Source organism: Homo sapiens, chromosome 2, assembly GCF_000001405.40.
Source record: "Homo sapiens chromosome 2, GRCh38.p14 Primary Assembly".
Classification (NCBI taxonomy): domain Eukaryota; kingdom Metazoa; phylum Chordata; class Mammalia; order Primates; family Hominidae; genus Homo; species Homo sapiens.
In genome coordinates, this window is record NC_000002.12 from 98,367,896 (window position 1) to 98,386,451 (window position 18,556).

The window sequence follows — 18,556 nt, forward strand, 5'->3', positions numbered from 1 at the left end:
GTACACACCTGACCACATTCCTACTGGGCTTTAGGGTAAGGCCCAAGCTCCTGGGCACAACCTGCAAAGCCTGTTGTAGCACCTGCCCCACTGCACTGTCAGATCCTTGAGAACAGGCTTCGTTTTATTTCTCTTTATAGCTCCTATGATCAGCCAGAAACTCACTCATTGTTACATAAGTGAATAAAGTGTTTAAAAATCAAAACAATGTTTGATCTATTGAGAAAACCAGAATATTTAAACTCATAGACTTAAACTATCAAACATCAGAGACAAGTCAGGACCCTGCTGAGCCGATGGCTGCCCTTTTGTAACTGGCAGAGGGTTGGCCAAATGTGCATGGCCACACCAATGGCTCCTGTCTCTGACCTTCCTTTGGATTTGGAATTAACTGAGTCCTGGAGTGAGTCCCTGGGCTATTTCTAGAAATTGCCATCTTTCTCCGGAGTGGTCTCCACTGACATCTGACACACTTAAACGATGTGGCTGCTCAAGAGAGCCTGTGCTAATCTATTTTAGAGAAACCATCCTCAGAAATGCATCTTCCAGTGAAAGACTTATCCAAAAATCATGGAACTGGCCAATCACACCAGCCCTGCTCTCACATAGGCTTTCTTTTCAATCACAGGGGCACCTTCCAATGTTTGCCAAAGAGAAAATGTTCATGACCTGATTTCTGGCACAAGTGTAACTGCCCAAGGGGTTCACCTTCCCCACTGCCTAGACAGAGCCAACTTATCAAGACAGGGGAATTGCAACAGAGAAAAAGTAATTCACACAGAGCTGGCTGTGCAGGAGACCAGAGTTTTATTATTACTCAAATCACTCTTCCCAAAACTCAGGGATCAGGGTTTTTAAGGATAATTTGTTGGGTAGGGGGCCAGTGAATCGGAAGTGCTGATTGGCTGGCTTAGGGATGAAATCACAGGGAGTTGACTCTGTTCTCTTATGCTGAGTCAGTTACTGGGTGGAGGCCACAGAACTGGTTGGTAGGTCAAGGTGTGGCCATCCGGTTGTTAGAAATGTGAAAACCTGAAAAGACATCTCAAAAGGCCGATCTTAGGCTCACAATAGTGACGTTGCCTTTAACAGTAACTGGGGAAGTTGCGAATCTTACGACCTCTGGAATAATGGCTGATAATATTTAGAATTCCAGCCCCTCTCATTCTAACTTGGTGGCTGTTGGGCTTTTAGTTGTTTTACAAAAACAGTTTAGCTTTGGGAAAGGGCTTTAATTTAAATTATAAATTAAATTCCTTCCCAAGGCTAGTTCGGCCTACGCCCAGGAATGAATAAGGACAATTTAGAGGTTAGAAGCAAGATGGAATTGGTTAGGTCTTATGTCGTTCACTGACATAATTTTCTTAGTTACAATTTTTCAAGACGATTTCACAAGGATTGTGCCACATTGACAGGTGGATCTATCTTTCATTGGACAAGCTACTTAACATCTCTGACGCTCAGTTTATTCATCTTTAAATGGGAATAAAAATAATAAGTACCTCACAAAGTTACTGTAAGGATTAATGAGATGAATCGTGTATTGGGTTTAGCATTATATTGTAAAGGTTTTCTGAATGTCACATATGGTCCTTTTTTTACATGTTGTCTTAAAGCAAGATTTGAGGGAGCAGTGGAAATAGGTGCCAAATTATAAGATAAAAATAAGGAAACAAGAAAACCAGGGTCAAGAGGGACACTGCATCATCTCAAAGAATCATGAGGGCTTCACCTTCCTTATATCACATACCAACTTGGCCCTTCATTTATTTATTCATTCACTCATTCAGTACTTAACTCTGAGCATCTCTTCAGCATGGTAGCATAAACAAATGAGTAAAAGACTTTGTGCCTTATGCTAGAAAGAAGAGCCTGGAGATGTCCAACTAAAACTCACTGCAGCAGGAACTACAAGAGACAGCAGAGGGTGTGCCTGCCAGGGCTTGCAGGGGGGCCGCGTGCGGTAGCCCTTGCCCTTGATGAGCTGGGTTTGCAGTTACTTTCCTGTCCTGATGACGTGTCTGCTTTGTGTTCACATTTTAGCAATCATCTGGGGGGCTAAATGTGACAAACCGAGAAGATGGCCAAGATCAACACCCAATACTCCCACCCCTCCAGGACCCACCTCAAGGTAAAGACCTCAGACCGAGATCTCAATCGCGCTGAAAATGGCCTCAGCAGGTAAGATGGGCTAAGATGGGCTTTTCATTTTATGCCTGGCTCTGGTCATTTCCACAGCTGATCTAGACTGTGGGGGAAGAATGCCTTCACGTTGGCCAGCCACAGGTCAGAGGGCAGGGGAGGTATTCACAGCACTGCCAACTTCATTTTTCATCTCACTTAATCCTCACAACCCCCAGAAAGTAGTCTGTATTCTTGTTTTAGAGATGTGGAAAAGCAGGCTTAAATAGTCACTTAATTGCTATAAGGTAAGAAAATGAAGACTCAAATGCAGCAGACTAAATTTTACTGTAAGAACTTCCTCAAACTGACACACTCTCCCATGTATTCATCAAAAATGTGTTGGACTCTTGCTGTGCACCAGCCACTGAACTGGGTTTGCAGTCTGAGCTGGGCACCAAAGATGTAGCATGAATCAGATGCCCTGCCCTCGCTTCCAGGGGAAGATCTGGAGGCAGGCCATGCCCAGGGCCTGTATAGGGAGTGGGCAGTGCCCCTTGTCAGCCAAGCCATCAACCCCATCAATGACATCCTGACACAGGTAGGAAATGGAAATCTGGAGCCTTAAGCTCTACTTCTAACCCTCTTCCTAACTTACTAGTAGACCTGGGAAAACGCATTTAACCACTCCATGCCTCAATTTCTTCACAATGAAACAGCATTTTTTCCAAGCTCCTGGTATAATAGTGAGGACACCCGAAGGGACCTATTTACTGTACATAGAGCTAAACCCTTATGTTTCTTTGTTTTTAGTTTTTTCCTTTTTGTTTTTCGTGACAGAGTCCCACCCTGTCACCCAGACTGGAGTGCAGTAGTGCAATTAGTGCAATCTCGGCTCACTGGGTTCAAGTGATTCTCCTGCCTCAGCCTCTCTAGTAGCTGGAATTACAGGCACCCACCATCACACCCTGCTAATTTTTGTATTTTTAGTAGAGACAGGGTTTTGCCATGTTGGCCATGTTGGTCTCGAACTCCTGACCTCAGGTGATCCACCTGCCTCAGCCTCCCAAAGTGCTGGGATTACAGGTGTGAGCCACTGCACCCAGCCATGTTTGTTAAATGATTAATGAGATGATTGAGTTGAAGCATGAGCAACTTTCTTTCCAATGTTTCTGTTATTTTTGCCCTATATATATAGAATTGAAAACTTCTCCCCACTATGCAGCTTAAATGCACACTGTCTGATGGCCCCAAAATGCAGTAACATCCCTCAGTCCCCACCTCCCTGCACTGGGCCCTCGTGCCTCATTTCTTCTCATTCATTTGTGTTCATCACTTCCTCTCCCAAAGGCACATTTGGTTGTTTCTCTGTCTACACTCTTGGTCCCAGCTCCTCAGCAAACTCTGCTAATAAGTGATGGTCAATAATTTTCAAAGAGATTGAGTCCCCATTATGGCAAACCCACACAGCCCTTGAACCCCACCTTCTGAGATTTCGGCAATGGAAGGAAGATCCCAGAGCATCCCAACAGATATTTATTTCCTCCAACCATTTTAACTCGGTGCTGGGGCCCCAGGAAGTGTGATATGGCTTCAGAGGCATCAGAAAGTTCCATCCTACTCAAATACCTTTCTCCTAACTAGCCCTTTGTCAATGCCTGCGTCGCACCACTGGAGACTTAGTCCTCTAAGTTAAGGCATTGCTCCTTATTTAAAAGAACAAAGAACACTATTAGGACCTTGAAACGTCTGTATGTTTTAATAGTTTATTTCCCATGTGTGAGCTAATAAAGCCCCTTGAAGGGGGTTTCAAAGAGAGGGTCGGGCATCAGGGAGAAGGAGCCCAAGAATGAGGCACAGCATAACATCACGATCCTGGGATCCTGGGCCCAAGACCTTGGGAGAAGGACCAGAGGCTGTCAGGATCAGGAAGATTTTGAAGCAGAATGGAACTTTTCCTCTTTGCACCCAACTTGCCTGGAGTGGGGCATGACCCAAGCATGTCATGGAGCTTCCAGATTCCCTAAAGGCAGAGAAGGCAGTAGTGGGATCTCAGTCCGGCTCCTTCCGGTGAGATACCCACTGGAGTAGGCACCCAGAAGAAGGCAGTCCTGGTCTGCAGGCTGCTGCGGCTCCTGCCCACAATGTCTGCCTGACTTGACAGCACCGTGGTCCTGCTGACTCACCCTGGTTCTGCTTTGGCCAGTGACCTCCAAGCCCAGCTTGACCTGTATCCTGTTGAAGCTTGCAAGGCCTCTTAGAAGATGACCATTTGCAAAATGAATTGCTAGCTTGTTAAGCCATGCTAATAGCAGCCACTGGCCTCTGGCTTCTGGCAGACTCTCTGCAGGCTCACTCTGGAATGCACACTGACAAGGGTCACAGCACCTCTAGGGATCAGCCACATGGTCAGGGGCTCTGAACTGACGTCTTGAGATAATGCTATTTGTCGTCTGCATGGGTGAGAAAAGGTCCTCCCTTCTCCTTCCTTTGCACTTTCTGTGACCAGAATGATGGTTTAACAGCACAAGCTTGGGGTCAGACTGCCTGGGATTGGACACTGGCTCTGCAACTGACCTGCTATGAAAAGTTGCTCAGTGGCTCCAAGCCTCAGTTTTCTCATCTGCAAAATGAATCAGTACTAATATTGCCCTCCTAGGGTTGTGGTGAGGTTACTGCAGATGTGAATGCAGAGGTCCTGGCACAGTCCCTGCTATGTGGTTAAGTGCTCAATTGACTCCCACTCCCGGTCTTGGAAATGATTACTTCTTCCTGTGGCCCTTCTCTGGTCTCTTCTCCTTGACCTCAGATAGCCGCATTTCCTGCCTGTGTCCAAGCCCTGCTGTTTCAGCCTGACCACCAGCCGAGGCTTACTGAACTCCACTCAGGTCTCGGCCCCACCCTTCACATGGTAAATTGACAGATTAATACAGTATCCCGTGGAAACACCACTGAGATTTCAAAATGAGAGACAGAAAGAGTGCTTCCTTTATGAAAGAGCTATGCTTTATCTTACAGAGGCGAGACTGGCTTTAACAGCCAGAAATTTTCAGAATGTTCCTTGGAGTCACCAAGGAATGACAGTGTGTACTCAGGATGGGGTACAGCAGCCTCAGGGATGGAGGCTGGGCCCAGCCCCTCCCCTGCTTCCCAGCCCAGCCCAGCATCTGTCTATCCACCGATGAGGTCTCTATGTGAGACTGATTTGAACAAAGGACTCAGGCACATACCACGCAAAAATTTTTAAGTTTCAAATCACTATTTTGGAGCCAGGAGAAATAGTGTTTGGACAAGTCACACCTCTTTGTCTTGAAATTCCAGTCCTTTTAGAAAGCTTTATGAGACAAATGATTGAGAATTGGGGTACACGAACGTTAATCGCTCTTTATCTTCAGTGATATCAAGAAGCCTGCACTGGAAACCTGCGTGTGGGTATGGCCCCTCGCTGAGTGCCCCCAAGAGGAAGGCATAGCCAAGTCTCTGTCCCCTGAGACTTCCCTGCCCCAAGGTCTTTTCACCAAATTGGAGGGCCAGTTTTTAAGTTATTGGAATTATTTTTATAGTGGAAAGTCATAGGGAAGAATGAAAACATTTCATTTGAATGAAAACATTTTACACCCTGAAAATACCAAAAATAAGTCTGAGTTTTCATTTCTACTTAGATCTTTTTAGTTGGCTCAATTATTTAAGAACTGTCTGGCATATCTGTGAGGATAAGGCAATAGAAACAGGCTATTCTCTGCTGCAGAGAATTGCAGCTAGGACTGAGGGCAACTTAAATCCCAGATCCATCTCCTGGCGTAGCAATTTTGAATGAGCTTTGGGGCACGGGGGTTTGTGTCTGACAGAAGAGTGGTCTTCTTGTGTTACTCCCTGAGCAGAGCCCAAAGCAATTACCACCAAAGAAAACCATTTTCATCCCACTTCTCCAGGACCAAAGGCTTAAAAATGCATTGGCTTCAGTCCCCCACCACATGTGGCCAATAGCAGTGGGTTCCAATCATTCAAGTTCCTCAGGGCTTAAGAAGAGGAAATTAAAGTGTCGTATTCCCCAGCCTTGTGCTGAAAGGTCACCTCTGTTTACTCTCATGTCCCCAAAACTATCTTGCTGGAAAACATCAGATGCTTCACCAAGTGCAAAGTTAATTTCCAGTTCCAGTTCTCATGGGAGCCCCTGTCCTCGCCCAGTCACAAGAAACCTTCACCTTACCAACGTTAATTCCTCTGTGCAAATAAACGTAGAACTTGAGCATTACAAGGTGAAAATTATGTTGTCTTTCAAAGCAGTCTCTCCATTCTACTAGTTGTTCTTGTTCTTGCCAACTACCAACATCAGGGGGGCCTCTTCCTTGGAAGGCATCGACCCCACATGGGATCTTAGAATAGCAGCCCACACGTGGGAGGGAAGCTCCAGGGTTGTCCTGGCCTGGTCTGTTCATTTTACAGAGACTGAGGTCCTGTAAAGCCATTGCCCCAGGCCCTTCCACCAGCCACAGGCAGAACAGAGCCTGGCCCCACGACTCTCATTTTCCATTCCTGCATTAGTCGCCAAAAGCATCTCCTTTTTTTCGGTACCTGTGTGTCCTTGGGGACTCCAAATGTCACCTCAGACATCAGTTCCTCTCCTCTCTTCCCACCTCCCCTCCATCTGCCTGGTAAAATCAGTTTCTGGGAGAAGTAATTAATGAAGTTTACTATGTAAACACCCCCAGGCATTTAATATGGGTAAAGCTCTGGAGCTAAAAGAAAGACATTGATCTAATGGAATTTCAGGCATTGAGAAGGAAGTGGGGCAACGCATAGGGAAAAAATGGGCCCCCCCATCAGGCCCCTGGAACTTGCATCATGTAAGGATCTCCCTGTTCTTCACGGCCAGTTGTGCCTTTCTGGTAACTGAAATCCACATGAAATTGCCAACTTTTGCTTTATTTGCTTTGTGAAGATCAGGAAACTTAAGCCCAGAGAGGGTAAGTGACCAGCCCACAGAATACTCAGCCTGCAGGTGCTGGAGCAGGGACTCAAACCAGGACCTGCCACCTTTCCACTCTGCCTCCTCCCCCTGAGTGGGCATCATAGATCCCGCCCATATGCAACAGCTCTCGCTGCTGCTGGTTGCAGGCCTGCTTTGCAATCCTGGGTGGGTTTTGCCTTCCTCACCCACTCACCAGCTCTGATGTTATCTAATTCATTTGCCGCGAATGCAAATAAATCTGGTCTCAGGATGTGCCCTCATGCAATTAGCAGGAACCAGACTACGCTAAAACGCTGGGCCGACTGCTTGGTGCCTAGAGCTCCCTGAGGAGCTGCTGGTGGCGGCAGAACACCTCCATCCTTGGGATTGCCTCCAGATCTTCCAGGCACACAGGCTGTGACAGGGCCCCCGCCCAGCTGTCAGCTGCCATCACCACCACCCCCATGCCAGCTTCTCGAATCCAAGGACCTCTGCCACCTCCTCCTGCAACCAACCTAGGTGCATTGGAACATGCATCCTGCCTTTATAGTATACAGAATATGAAGCGGGCAAGGGAATTGTAGCTTCTGGACTGCAGCAGGGTCTCTGACAGGGTCTTTTATGTGTACACAAATGAGATGAGAGTGGGTTTCTTATGAGTATAAGGGGAGAATTCAATCAGGTGGTTTGAAAATAAAGAGCCATGCCTATGGTACAGCCATATGGATTACAGCAATGTCTCTAGTGGCATGCCACAGGGCTCAGTCCTCAGCCATCCTATTAATTTCCTTTTCATCTGTGCCATATATGAAAATACAGGGCAGCTTCATGGAGTGGATGACAGCAAGTTTTGAAATGGGATGGAATAACATTGGAATCTCGGCTGTACCACCTGGCTATGGGATCTCGGTGAAGTTGCTTAACCTTTCTGAACTCCCATTTCCTCTCTTACAGGGTTGTTGTGTGGATGAAATGATAAAATGTATGTGGCTGGCATACAGAAAAGAGCCACTGAATGGCATGTGGTTTGTGTATTTTGTTTGTGAGTAGGATGGTGTTGGGAGGAAAGGTGAGTGTGTTCTCTGCATACCAATGCTTCCAAAACATCGAGTTACTCAGATCAGTGGGAAGGTCCAATACTTAATTCCAAAAAAAATCAATTGCGCATACACAAGCCGGGGTCCTCTGGCTGGCAGCAGCCTGTGTTACAGGACTGCTTTGGGTTTTCGCTGACTGTAGCTGGTGACCATCAAAAACCACCAGAAACACACAAAGCAATAAAGTCTTCCCAGAGTCTGCCCAGTCAAGCAAGACCCCAGGAACTTGCTCACAGGAGAAGGACCATGACAAGGAAGAGACTTGACCCCAAGGAGGAATTGCTGGGTGAGCTGGGGGTTCTGGCCTGGAAACCCAGAAGTCACACAGGTCCTGGTCATGGAAGGTAGAAGACGAAGCTACCTGACTCCCGGTGGTTCCAGCAGAAAACAGCCTCAATGTGGGGAGGCTGAGAGAGGGAAGAATCTGTGGGCAGGTGGCGCAGTCAAGAGACAGCCCAGGCAGACCGGGGCATGGGAGTGAGCTCCCTGTTGCTGGAAAAGGCAGGGAGGAATCTGTAGAAGAGGAGAAGCAAGCAGCAGCCTGGCCACCGTGATGCAAGGACTCTGACTTCTAATCAATCACCAGGGAGAGACTGAAGCTTTTCCCTGGTATTAATTCTTGCCTCCTTGTTAAGAAGGCTAATTGGGTTGGAACAGGTCATGTGATAGAATTAATTTGTCTTGCCTGGGCTCCTCAAGACTCATAGACTGAAGTGCAAATCCCTAGAGGCTAATGCCTGGCTGGCTTTTAATCAGGCTGATCAAACTTCAGCCCCAGGAGGTTTAAAAGAAAGGAAAATATTCCCAGACGCATTCCTAGTCTTATTCCAGGCAATTCAACCAGACTCTGCTGGTGTGACTGGTGGTTGTATGGAGTTACGGGCACCTGTCCTTTCTGGGGTCACACTTTCCACAATGGGTTGCACAAGGGGAGTCACCACACCTTACCTCTGCCTTGCAGGAGAGAGAGCCTAGAGTTTGGCAAAAGGGACGAGGGGAAGTGGAGTCTCATTTGAAAGCACTGTACAAATTATTTGAACTGCATGTGGAGAGCTAGGCCAGTTCTGTGCAATATTCCAGGGCCTCCGTGTTAACCAGCGGGTTCCCAGGAAGCCTGCCAGACAAGCCCACAAACAGCTGCCCAGGCAGTGTGGCTGCAGCACACGCAGTGGGAAGGGAGGCTCAGAAAGACCCCTAAGGAGCGGGTATTCAATCTAGCCTCAGAAGATGAAATTCAGTAGGCGAGAAGTGTTGGAACCAAAATCCTCGTTCTGGAGTCATTTTATGGAAGCAGCTGCTTTGGCTTGAAATGGCAAGCCCCGGGACCTCTCCCCACCCAGTGCTTTGATGAGGGCCAGGCCAGCATGTACTGCCACCTTCCCGTCCTTTCACCTAGCCCTGGACAGTAGCTACCTTCCTTGCTGTAAAGGAAAGGCCACGTTTATACCAAAATCCAGAATCTATCTGCAGGAGGCAAAGGGAAGTGGGGAGCCCCTGGGATGAGGATCTGTGAGGGTGGCTTTCCCTGCTAAGCAGAACATCTGACTGTCTCACTCCTGGCTGTGTCCAGGAGGTAGATGGGCTTGAAATCAATTCTGCTTGCTGCATATCTGATTTCCTAGAGCCCACTCGTCAAGTGAGGAGACATCGTCAGTGCTGCAGCCGGGGATCGCCATGGAGACCAGAGGACTGGCTGACTCCGGGCAGGGCTCCTTCACCGGCCAGGGGATCGCCAGGTAACTGACCAGCCTCAGTCCCTACCTTGGCCTGGGGGACACTGTTGCAGAAAGAAGGTAGTGACCTCTCAGGAAAAAGTGCTAGATGGGGGTGGAGTTGAAGATTTGGAAAAGAAAGGGTCAGGAGCAGAGCAGCCTGAAAACTATCAGTGAGTAATTTCCTCTTGGGTCAGATGTTCTGAGCTCAGAAAAGTCTAAGGAAAACTGCCTTTATCTGAAATTGCTTAATAAAAGCTGACATTGAGGTACTTGCTCAGGTTTGGAAGAATTCAGAAAAAAAGCCAACCGGAGAAGGTGGTAAGAGCAGCCAGCCGTGGGAGACCTTTGATTGGGTGGACACAGTGGTGTGCTGAGGATGGTGGTGATGAGTCTGAAATGGCTCTGGCAGGGTCTCCCGGGTGCTCGTCTGGACCCCAGGGCAGGTAGGTGTCCTTGCAAAAGCATTTGTTTGCAAGATTAGTGAGACTCCAAGCTCTGCTTCCCCCTGATGACATCCGTACTCCAGCTTCAACAGCTGCTCCATCCTGAGGAAGTCATTTCACCTTTTCAAATCTCATCTAGAAATGCATCTAACAGTGCCTACCCCACAGGTGGCTTGAAAGCTGCTTCAGAGCCAAGCACCGACTCACGGCAGGTGCTCAACAAACACCAGGCTCATTATTTCCTTCCACCACGTGGTTTTTTCCAATGCCAGAGTCTTACATAGTCACATGTTCTAAACTTTTTACTTAAGATTATCACAAAAGAAATTCACATATCTATTTATTCTTCATGCTTTTCATTATGAAGGATGCTACTCCACCATTGTTTATTTAACTAGTCCATTGTAGCTGGGCATGTAAGTGATGTTCAGTGTTTGCATTTTACTAATAAAGAGCTGTCTTAAGGTTCTTTGATGATAAAGGAAGAAAGAGAACACCTTTAAATCAGCTCTGTAGGGCTGATACAGGGTGTGTTGTAAGCTTGCAACACAAGCTATCTCAGGGAAACAGAGCCAGTGGGGCTCGCAGGAGGGGACCTGGGGAGGTAGTCACCTTCCCCCTCCCATTTTCTCATGGAGTTTCATGGTCTTTGTGCTTCTTTCTGCATGTCCCCTCCATTCTGGCTCTCTCTGTTCCAATATCAGCTGGCACAAGGCTGAAAACAGCCTTTGCCATGTGACCATGAGTTGAAACACCCAACCCTGTCTTCGAGTGGCTCTCAGTTCAGAGGCCTGAGTGGCTCTCTGTGCGTCAGTTGTCTGTCCTAGTCCCATTGTCTGAGGCTGGAGGAGGGAGTATGACCTTGGTTCCACCCTCTTGGCAGAGGAAGTGTGTGGTTACAGGAATTGTCTGCGGCAGAGAGACTGGGCTTGGCAGATACCTCCAAATATGTCTGCGGCAGCAGCTGTAAGCATCTGCCTACAGAGATATTTTCTTAGTCAATGTATTGCCTTAGGCTAAGGTCATAAGTGTGTGATTAGGGTCAAGGTATGTGACAATTCATAGCTTAGTTCCAGGTTGTTCAGTACTGACTCTGGCTCGGGACACCCCGTCCAGGGGAGGGCACTGCAGATGCCAAATCAGGGAAACCAGAAGCCAAGAAACAGAATGGAGTCTCTGGGCCTGTTCCCCACTGTTCCCCTCTGGCAGAGACACCAGCAACAGCAGGCAGGGTGGAGGGAAGGCCCCTCTCAGGCCCGTGTGTCTCAGATGAGCTCTAGGGACTGGCACTGTGGTCGCAGGTGTTGGAGCTCACGGCAAGCTCCAGGCAGGGCCGGGCTCCGGGAGAGGGCCCAGGGCAAGTTGCAAAGGAACCTCCCAGGCCTGGGGAGAAAACTCTAGTTTGTACAAGAACACACCAATAAGATAAAAGCTGGGAAAAGACTCCAGGTTGTGCCTGGACGCCTGTTCCTTTAAGCCTTGCTGTATCAGATCTCAAGAACTTCTAAATAAATAAATAAATAACCTTGCTCTCAATGTTGTCATCCTTTGAAACCCACATTGCTTTACTCTTCCTGCACTTGGCAGTCATAACAAAGAGCTCTCCATTGGGCAAAAGGAGTGAGCTAATCCCCCATTTGAAGGATCATGCCTTAGGCAGAGTCCAAGTGCTGCAAGGACAAATGGTAATAAAGAGAGTGTCCCTTTCCGGGGAAGCCTGCCCCTGACTGCAGGGTGGAGGGAGAAGGGGATAAACGGTCCCCATGGGGCAGAGATGCAAACTTAGACCACAGGGCCCCCAGCACCCGTACCCTGCTGGTCATCATTGCTTCTGCCCCATCCCTTGAGACAGACAGAGAGGGAGGGAGAAAGAGAGAGAGGGAAAGACTGGGGTTTGGGGGTGTGGGGGGCTTTTCCTCTCCCTCTGGCTCAGTGCTTGTGTCACCTTCCAGGCTGTCGCGCCTCATCTTCTTGCTGCGCAGGTGGGCTGCCAGGCATGTGCACCACCAGGACCAGGGACCGGACTCTTTTCCTGATCGTTTCCGTGGAGCCGAGCTTAAGGAGGTGTCCAGCCAAGAAAGCAATGCCCAGGCAAATGTGGGCAGCCAGGAGCCAGCAGACAGAGGGAGAAGGTAAGGAACGGAAAAGAAGAAGGGGCCTCTGGTGCCTGCTGGGGCCAGGCAGGAAGCCTGTGCTTTGCTCCATCCTGTTTGGATGCAGCACAGGTGGCCTGGAACGTCATCCCCATGAGCTGTTCCTTGAAGAAAGTGTTTGCCCTTGGGGGAGCACTACATGCTCTAACAGCCTCTGCGGAGTCCAAGAGGCCTTGCAGGAGGGAGAAAACCCTTGAACCAGAGCCCCCAGCCTCATTTGACCACTCACCTTATCCTACACAGGGGTCCTGTTAGGGTCCCCTGGAAATCATGTTCTCAGAAACTCATCGGGGGATGCTGGCCTTACCTATCTCTCTTCACCAAGGACCCCCGTCCTAGACTCCACTATGACCCATCTTGCTCAAAAGCAGGGTCTTTTATAGCAGGAGCCTTGGGGGGGTGTCTAAATGGTATCCACAAGTTTATGTGTAGGCACGCGTGCATTTTTCTGGGAAGAGAGTCTACAGGTTGGTCAGAATTTTCAAGGGGAGCCATCCATGTCCCAGATCAGGTTGAGAAATACCAGGTGGGGAAGGGGACAATGGTGAGAGTAGAGCGAGGTGGGGAGAGTGCTTGCTTTCTGGAGGGAAAATCTGCAGAACTGGGGCCTCTCTGCATCTTGCTTCGCCCCCACCCTAACTGGGAGATAAACCTGCAATCAGACTGGTAGCCCCTTACACACAGACACAGGGCTGCTGCCTCCCCTCCTGACTTGTTCATGAGAAGTCTCCCCAGCAGGTGGTCTGCAGAGAGACCCCTGGGCCAGCACAGGTTGAATCAATTGTCACTGAGCAGTAGAGGGTCTCTTTAGGACACTTAGGTCTGTCTGGAAGGGAGGAGAGGCAAGACGTTGAGGGGAAGCTGACCTCCCCTCGGCCTCCCAAACAGGTGGCTTCTCACCCAGAACCTATTTTCTGGGGGGTGGGAAAAGGGGATCAAATAAGCATGATGGCTGCAGAACAGACAGTCCCTATATAATTTGCTAGAGAAAAAGCTATCTGTATGTCAATGAGGAGAAGATGGGTTCAGGTTTGGAGCTTCTCAAATGGTCATATGAGGGTTTCTGGTGTGTGAAGGTGATGAAGTCTCAGGGGAAACCCAGTGGCTCTTTCGGGAACGTCCATTTTCATTCCATATTTGTATGGGGAGTGGCAGTGGGTATTTGTATGTCATAGATGATGCAGGGGATGGCGAACGGCACGGGCATTTTTAAGATGGAATATGAGAGTTCAAGGCCATGTCTTGCCAGTGACTGCTTTAGGAGACCCGGGGAAAGGTGTGAGAATCCCTGACTGAGATGGGAAGGCCAGAGTTTTCACACGAGCTTGGACTGCAAACGCTTGGGTTTCCTGGGCTGGGGGAAGGAGGCTGGGGAAGGCCTGGGCGCTGGCCCAGACAAGTGCAGGGAGGTCCCAGGTTCCCAGGACTGGGCATCCAGTATCCTCGAGGGACACCATGAGACAGAAAGATAAGGAGGCAGGCAGATAAGAAAGAGGACAAAGTGGGGAAAGAGGAAGAGGGAGGGGGGAAAAAGAAGTTTCTCAGCAAGCCAGCCAGACTGGTCTAATTCCTTTTGGGCAAGCAAAGACTTCCTTATTTAAATTGATCAAATTACCTTCCTACATCCTTAGAGATGAATGTTAGACTCTCTGTCCATTTCCCGATGGGACCAGACAAATGGAGGGTTGAGCTAGGACCATATCCAGGGCAGGCCCCGACCACCTCACAGACATCTGATGGATCACTCGCGGGCAGGGTCAGCATGGGAAGATGGATGCGATGGTGCGGATAGTGTTGGTCAATCAGCAAGTCTTCCTGGGGGTGAGGATTTTGAATTTTTCTGGAGGCAAAGTCTCCACTGCAAAGCCAAGTATATACACAGACAGGTCCTAGTTCTCCTGTGTGGGCTTGGCTTTGTGGGGTTACGGGCACAGAGGCATGGTGAACACAGCCACTGCATCCCCCACGGAGCTGAACCTTCCCTCCTTCACAATCCCACGGCGGTTCCAGTTCCTGGGAGATTTTCAGATGAGCAGAACCAATCTAGAAACAAGCGGTTATGGCCATATCTTAGACGGAGAGAGGGAGATTTGGGCAGGATGAGCTGAAGTCATCATAATGGCATTTATTTGGCTGGACATCAAGCATCGTGGAAGAGGTGCCCCGGGAGTCAGGTGGGGGTGTCGCCTGCCTCAGGCTCCAGTTCCCGTGGTCTCCTATGAGGGGTCTGCAGTGCCCTGCGAGGCCGCATGGCTTTTTTAACCCAGCCATGTTGAAAATGTGTTCTGGCGGTCAGAGATAATACCTTTTCCTATAGAACATCATGAAGTACTGCAAAATTCAACTTTAAATAAATATCCAGTTTGTGCAAAACCAGCCCCTACCTTCAACCAGATTCTCACATAGATCAGGGGTGTCAGGCCCTGGAGTCGTAAAATTTGGGGAGATAGGAGAGGACAAGAGGAGGAGAAACTGAAAACAGCAACAATCCCACCTATGCTCAATTACTTGCCCTGCTAATTGGAAGAGGCCTTCGCAGCTGAGGGAGCAAGTCGCTGTTGCTGCTGCAGGCTGCGTCCATCCTGGGGCAGAAGGTGCAAGACCTCCTCCACCACAGAGGCATGGAAGCACTGAGGGCAGAGGCCACGCAGGGTCCATTTCTGTGCCCCTCTTAGTGCCTGGCACGTGGCCCCATCCAGGGTGGAATGGAAGGAAATTGAGTGGAATTTGAGGCAGGGAAGCTGGAAGGAGTCAAACGGCTGAATCTTTTCTTCAGAAGCCTCAGTTTAGCCATGTTCACTCTCTCTTCCCCCAAGGCTTTTACCCGAGGTAACTAATCACAAAGCATTTTGGCCTTGACAATACCACCCCGTATTCTTCAAGCTGTGAGTGCAAAGGCTGGAAGCAGTGGGATAGGGATTGGGGGGTGGGGCATGGTAATCCCCTGGTGAAATGGCCCCAAGGAATGGAAACAGAGTTCAGACCCTTGATGTTCTCTCTACCTTCCCGCAGCGCCTGGCCCCTGGCCAAATGCAACACTAACACCAGCAACAACACGGAGGAGGAGTAAGTACCCACACACCCAGCAGAGCCCTCCCCAAGCCCGGTGCCCTCCACCCCATAGAAGCCCCAGCTTGGCCTCTCTCCTTAGTGCTCCTGCTCCCCACTCCCAGAGCACCAGTAGAATATTTTAGAATCCTGTTCCCTTCGTTGGAATTCCATCCCTGTGGACAGAAGTCGGGGAGGGATGAGATCTGTGTGACTTCTTGGGGAAGTCGTCTGATCTCTTCGCCTCTCATTTTTCTCATCCATAAAGCAAAGGAATTGGATCAGATAAATGCTTTAAGCTTTAGCACTCTATACCACGATATATCTGAGGGTGCAGAACCGGAGTTCCTTGACAGAGCACTGGAGATTCTCCTTAATGATGAAAAGGCATTTTCTTATTCTACAACCTCAGGCTCTTGAGTGCCAGTGAAATGCCCTTGTTTTTGCTGCTGTTGTTATTGTTGTTTGTTTGTTTGTTTTTGAGATGGAGTCTTGCTCTGTCACCCAGGCTGGAGTGCAGTGGCGCCATCTTGACTCGTTGCAAGCTCCGCCTCCCGGGTTCACGCCATTCTCCTGCTTCAGCTTCCCGAGTAGCTGGGACTACAGGCGCCCGCCACCACACCCGGCTAGTTTTTTTGTATTTTTAGTAGAGAGGGGGGGTTTCACCGTGTTAGCCAGGATGGTCTCGACCTCCTGACCTCGTGATCCACCCGCCTCGGCCTCCAAAGTGCTAGGATTACAGGCATGAGCCACTGCGCCTCGCCTGAAGTTCCCGTGTTTTAAGGCCAATTTGGGCCAATTTTGGGGGCGTAATCAGAGCAGTGGAAAAAGGCAATTTAAATATGTCCAGAGAATAGCCTCTTCAAAGGGTGACCTGCTATAATTCCTTTTTCCATCACCAGATACTAAGGTGGCAGATTAGGGACAGCGTGGCACTATTCAGGAGGGGAAGTCTTAGTTGGAGATTAGGGAAAAAATACCTATATCAGTGAGAAATGCCGATTTCTTGACTTCCAACAGACAGAGAAATGTGCCAAGGGTTTTTCTTGTTATTTCTCTCTTTGTTCCTCAGCTAGAACTTTTTTCTATTTTCTCCATGAAGGAAGCATGTCTTTTGTTTGCATAAATTTGGACATCAAATCCAGAGACCCAAATGCCAGCCATAACGAAAAATGAGATGATTTTATCTACAAAGCAATAGCTATAGTGATATGTGTTTGACTTAAAGCCAAACCTGACACTAAACACCCTTGCAGCTGCAGTATCAAGTCTTTCAGGCAGGGAACGGCTCCAGATACTGAAACCATGGACAGAGGTCCTGGGGGTTTCTAGGCATCTTTGTCCTGGGGCTGGGGTGTGGGCAAGGATGTGGGTGGATAGCGTGGGCTGCACCCGGCTCTTCAATCTTTCAATAAATGGGCTCACTTCACTGGTCCACTTTGAAGCCAAGGACCAAGGGACAAAACTGGGAACTATCCCAAAATGAGGACACACACAAAATAATTATTTATGAACACCTTCCCCGACTCTTCACTCCATTTCTGTCATTTTCATATGGTCTCATTTGTCCTGAATAATTTTTCCCTCCCCCATCAAACTGTTCCCAGCCAAAACCAGCAGCATTTTGCAGTTCTGTGTAGGGTTCTTTTGGGGCAGTGCTGGGTGGATTTGGGGATGCAGCCGATGGTGCTGGGTCTTTCCTAGGCTCTCAGCAGTTTGGTACCCAGACAGGCCAAGGCCCGTAATCCAGGGCCACAAATCTTGCACAAGGCAAGCTGAGTCCGGCGTAAACTGCAGGGCAAAGCTCACCCAAAAAGCTTGAGGGCAGCGCCGTCTGCTGGTGACTTGACGTTAAGACTCCAGTGCCTGAAAAGAGACCAGGGTTCACATCACCCTGGAGGACAGAGGAGGGGTAACTTTCCTTGCTCTTTTCATTTAATGATTTTAATAACCTTTTATTCTAATTCACTTTATTGAAATACTCTTGCTGAAAACTTGGAAAACAAGAAAAGCACACAGGGGCATACACACACAAAAACTGCACTTCATGCTAACCATGGAATTCCACTATCAGAGATAGCCCCACTTAACATGTTGACAAATATACTTCCAACTTCTTCCTAGGCATATATATTGAATACTTAGATTGATACAATATATTTTATATATACATATACTTGTTAAGAGCATCTGTTTCCCAACTCAGTTGCCTCAGAGCTTTGTGACCTTGGACAAGTGTATTAGTCCATTCTCACATTGCTAGAAAGAAATGCCTGAGACTCGGTAATTTATCAGAAAAGTGGTTTAATTGGCTTGAGGTACTGCAAGCTATACAGGAAGCATAGCAGCTTCTGCTTCTGGGGAGGCCTCAGGAAGCTTTCAATCATGGTGGAAGGCAAAGGGGGAGCAAGGAGTCTCAAACGGCAGGAGCAGGAGGAAGGTGGGGTAGGTGCCGTAAACAACCAGATCTCAAGAAAACTCACTCACTGTCTCAAGCAAAGCACCAAGGAATTGGTGCCAAACCATGAGAAATCCACCACCATGACAGGGACACAGATTCAAACCACATAAGCTGGTTACCTAACTTCTCTGTGTATCTGTTTCCTGGCTTATAAAATAAGGATTGTAATAGGGTCTTATTACATGGTGGGAGTGAAGACTGAATGTGTTACTCTGTGAAAAGTGCTCAGAACAGTGCCTGGTACATAGTAAGTGCTCAATAAATATTGACTTGTGTGGTAGGCAGAACAATCTCCCCCAAAAGATGTCTACCATCCTAATCCTTAGAACCTGTAAACAGGTTACCTCATATGGCAAAGGGAACTTCGTAAATGTGATTACATTCAAGGTCCTTGAGATAGGTAATGATTTGACTTGGCTGTGTCCCCACCCAAATCTCATCTTGAATTGTAGCTCCTCTAATTCCCATGTGTCGGGACAGATCTGGTGGGAGGTAATTGAATCATGGGGGTGGGTCTTTCCCATGCTGTGAATAAGTCTCACGAGATCTGATGGTTTTGTAAAGGGG

The 18,556-nt window shown here is 48.5% G+C and overlaps 1 protein-coding gene across 5 annotated transcripts in view, besides 5 other annotated features; it reads left to right on the plus strand.

Annotated features, from left to right (window-relative positions):
- The window catches only part of CNGA3 (cyclic nucleotide gated channel subunit alpha 3), a 52,146-nt gene that overhangs the window by 21,440 nt on the left and 12,150 nt on the right, over window positions 1-18,556 (plus strand). For 2 of the 5 annotated variants that reach the window (XM_011510554.3, XM_047443222.1), the window contains exons 2-6: window positions 2,044-2,181; window positions 9,792-9,905; window positions 10,163-10,327; window positions 12,280-12,459; window positions 15,493-15,546. In XM_011510554.3, the coding sequence (XP_011508856.1) occupies window positions 2,081-2,181; window positions 9,792-9,905; window positions 10,163-10,327; window positions 12,280-12,459; window positions 15,493-15,546 (614 nt within the window). In that variant the 5' untranslated portion in view covers window positions 2,044-2,080. The remainder of the gene's footprint in view (window positions 1-2,043; window positions 2,182-9,791; window positions 9,906-10,162; window positions 10,328-12,279; window positions 12,460-15,492; window positions 15,547-18,556) is intronic. The other 3 variants (XM_006712243.3, NM_001298.3, NM_001079878.2) reach the window with 3 other exon arrangements.
- Window positions 9,625-10,392: an enhancer, noted in NCBI's record as "H3K4me1 hESC enhancer chr2:98993983-98994750 (GRCh37/hg19 assembly coordinates)". NCBI's record gives its function as "activates a minimal SCP1, AML or CMV promoter by ChIP-STARR-seq in primed H9 embryonic stem cells {active_cell/tissue: H9 hESC(primed)}" and the evidence as "EXISTENCE:reporter gene assay evidence [ECO:0000049][PMID:30033119]".
- Window positions 11,051-11,345: an enhancer, noted in NCBI's record as "tiled region #13649; K562 Activating DNase matched - State 20:ReprD". NCBI's record gives its function as "activates a minimal TATA promoter and a strong SV40 promoter by Sharpr-MPRA in K562 cells {active_cell/tissue: K562}" and the evidence as "EXISTENCE:reporter gene assay evidence [ECO:0000049][PMID:27701403]".
- Window positions 14,335-14,912: an enhancer, noted in NCBI's record as "H3K4me1 hESC enhancer chr2:98998693-98999270 (GRCh37/hg19 assembly coordinates)". NCBI's record gives its function as "activates a minimal SCP1, AML or CMV promoter by ChIP-STARR-seq in primed H9 embryonic stem cells {active_cell/tissue: H9 hESC(primed)}" and the evidence as "EXISTENCE:reporter gene assay evidence [ECO:0000049][PMID:30033119]".
- Window positions 15,489-16,066: an enhancer, noted in NCBI's record as "NANOG-H3K4me1 hESC enhancer chr2:98999847-99000424 (GRCh37/hg19 assembly coordinates)". NCBI's record gives its function as "activates a minimal SCP1, AML or CMV promoter by ChIP-STARR-seq in primed H9 embryonic stem cells {active_cell/tissue: H9 hESC(primed)}" and the evidence as "EXISTENCE:reporter gene assay evidence [ECO:0000049][PMID:30033119]".
- Window positions 16,067-16,642: an enhancer, noted in NCBI's record as "H3K4me1 hESC enhancer chr2:99000425-99001000 (GRCh37/hg19 assembly coordinates)". NCBI's record gives its function as "activates a minimal SCP1, AML or CMV promoter by ChIP-STARR-seq in primed H9 embryonic stem cells {active_cell/tissue: H9 hESC(primed)}" and the evidence as "EXISTENCE:reporter gene assay evidence [ECO:0000049][PMID:30033119]".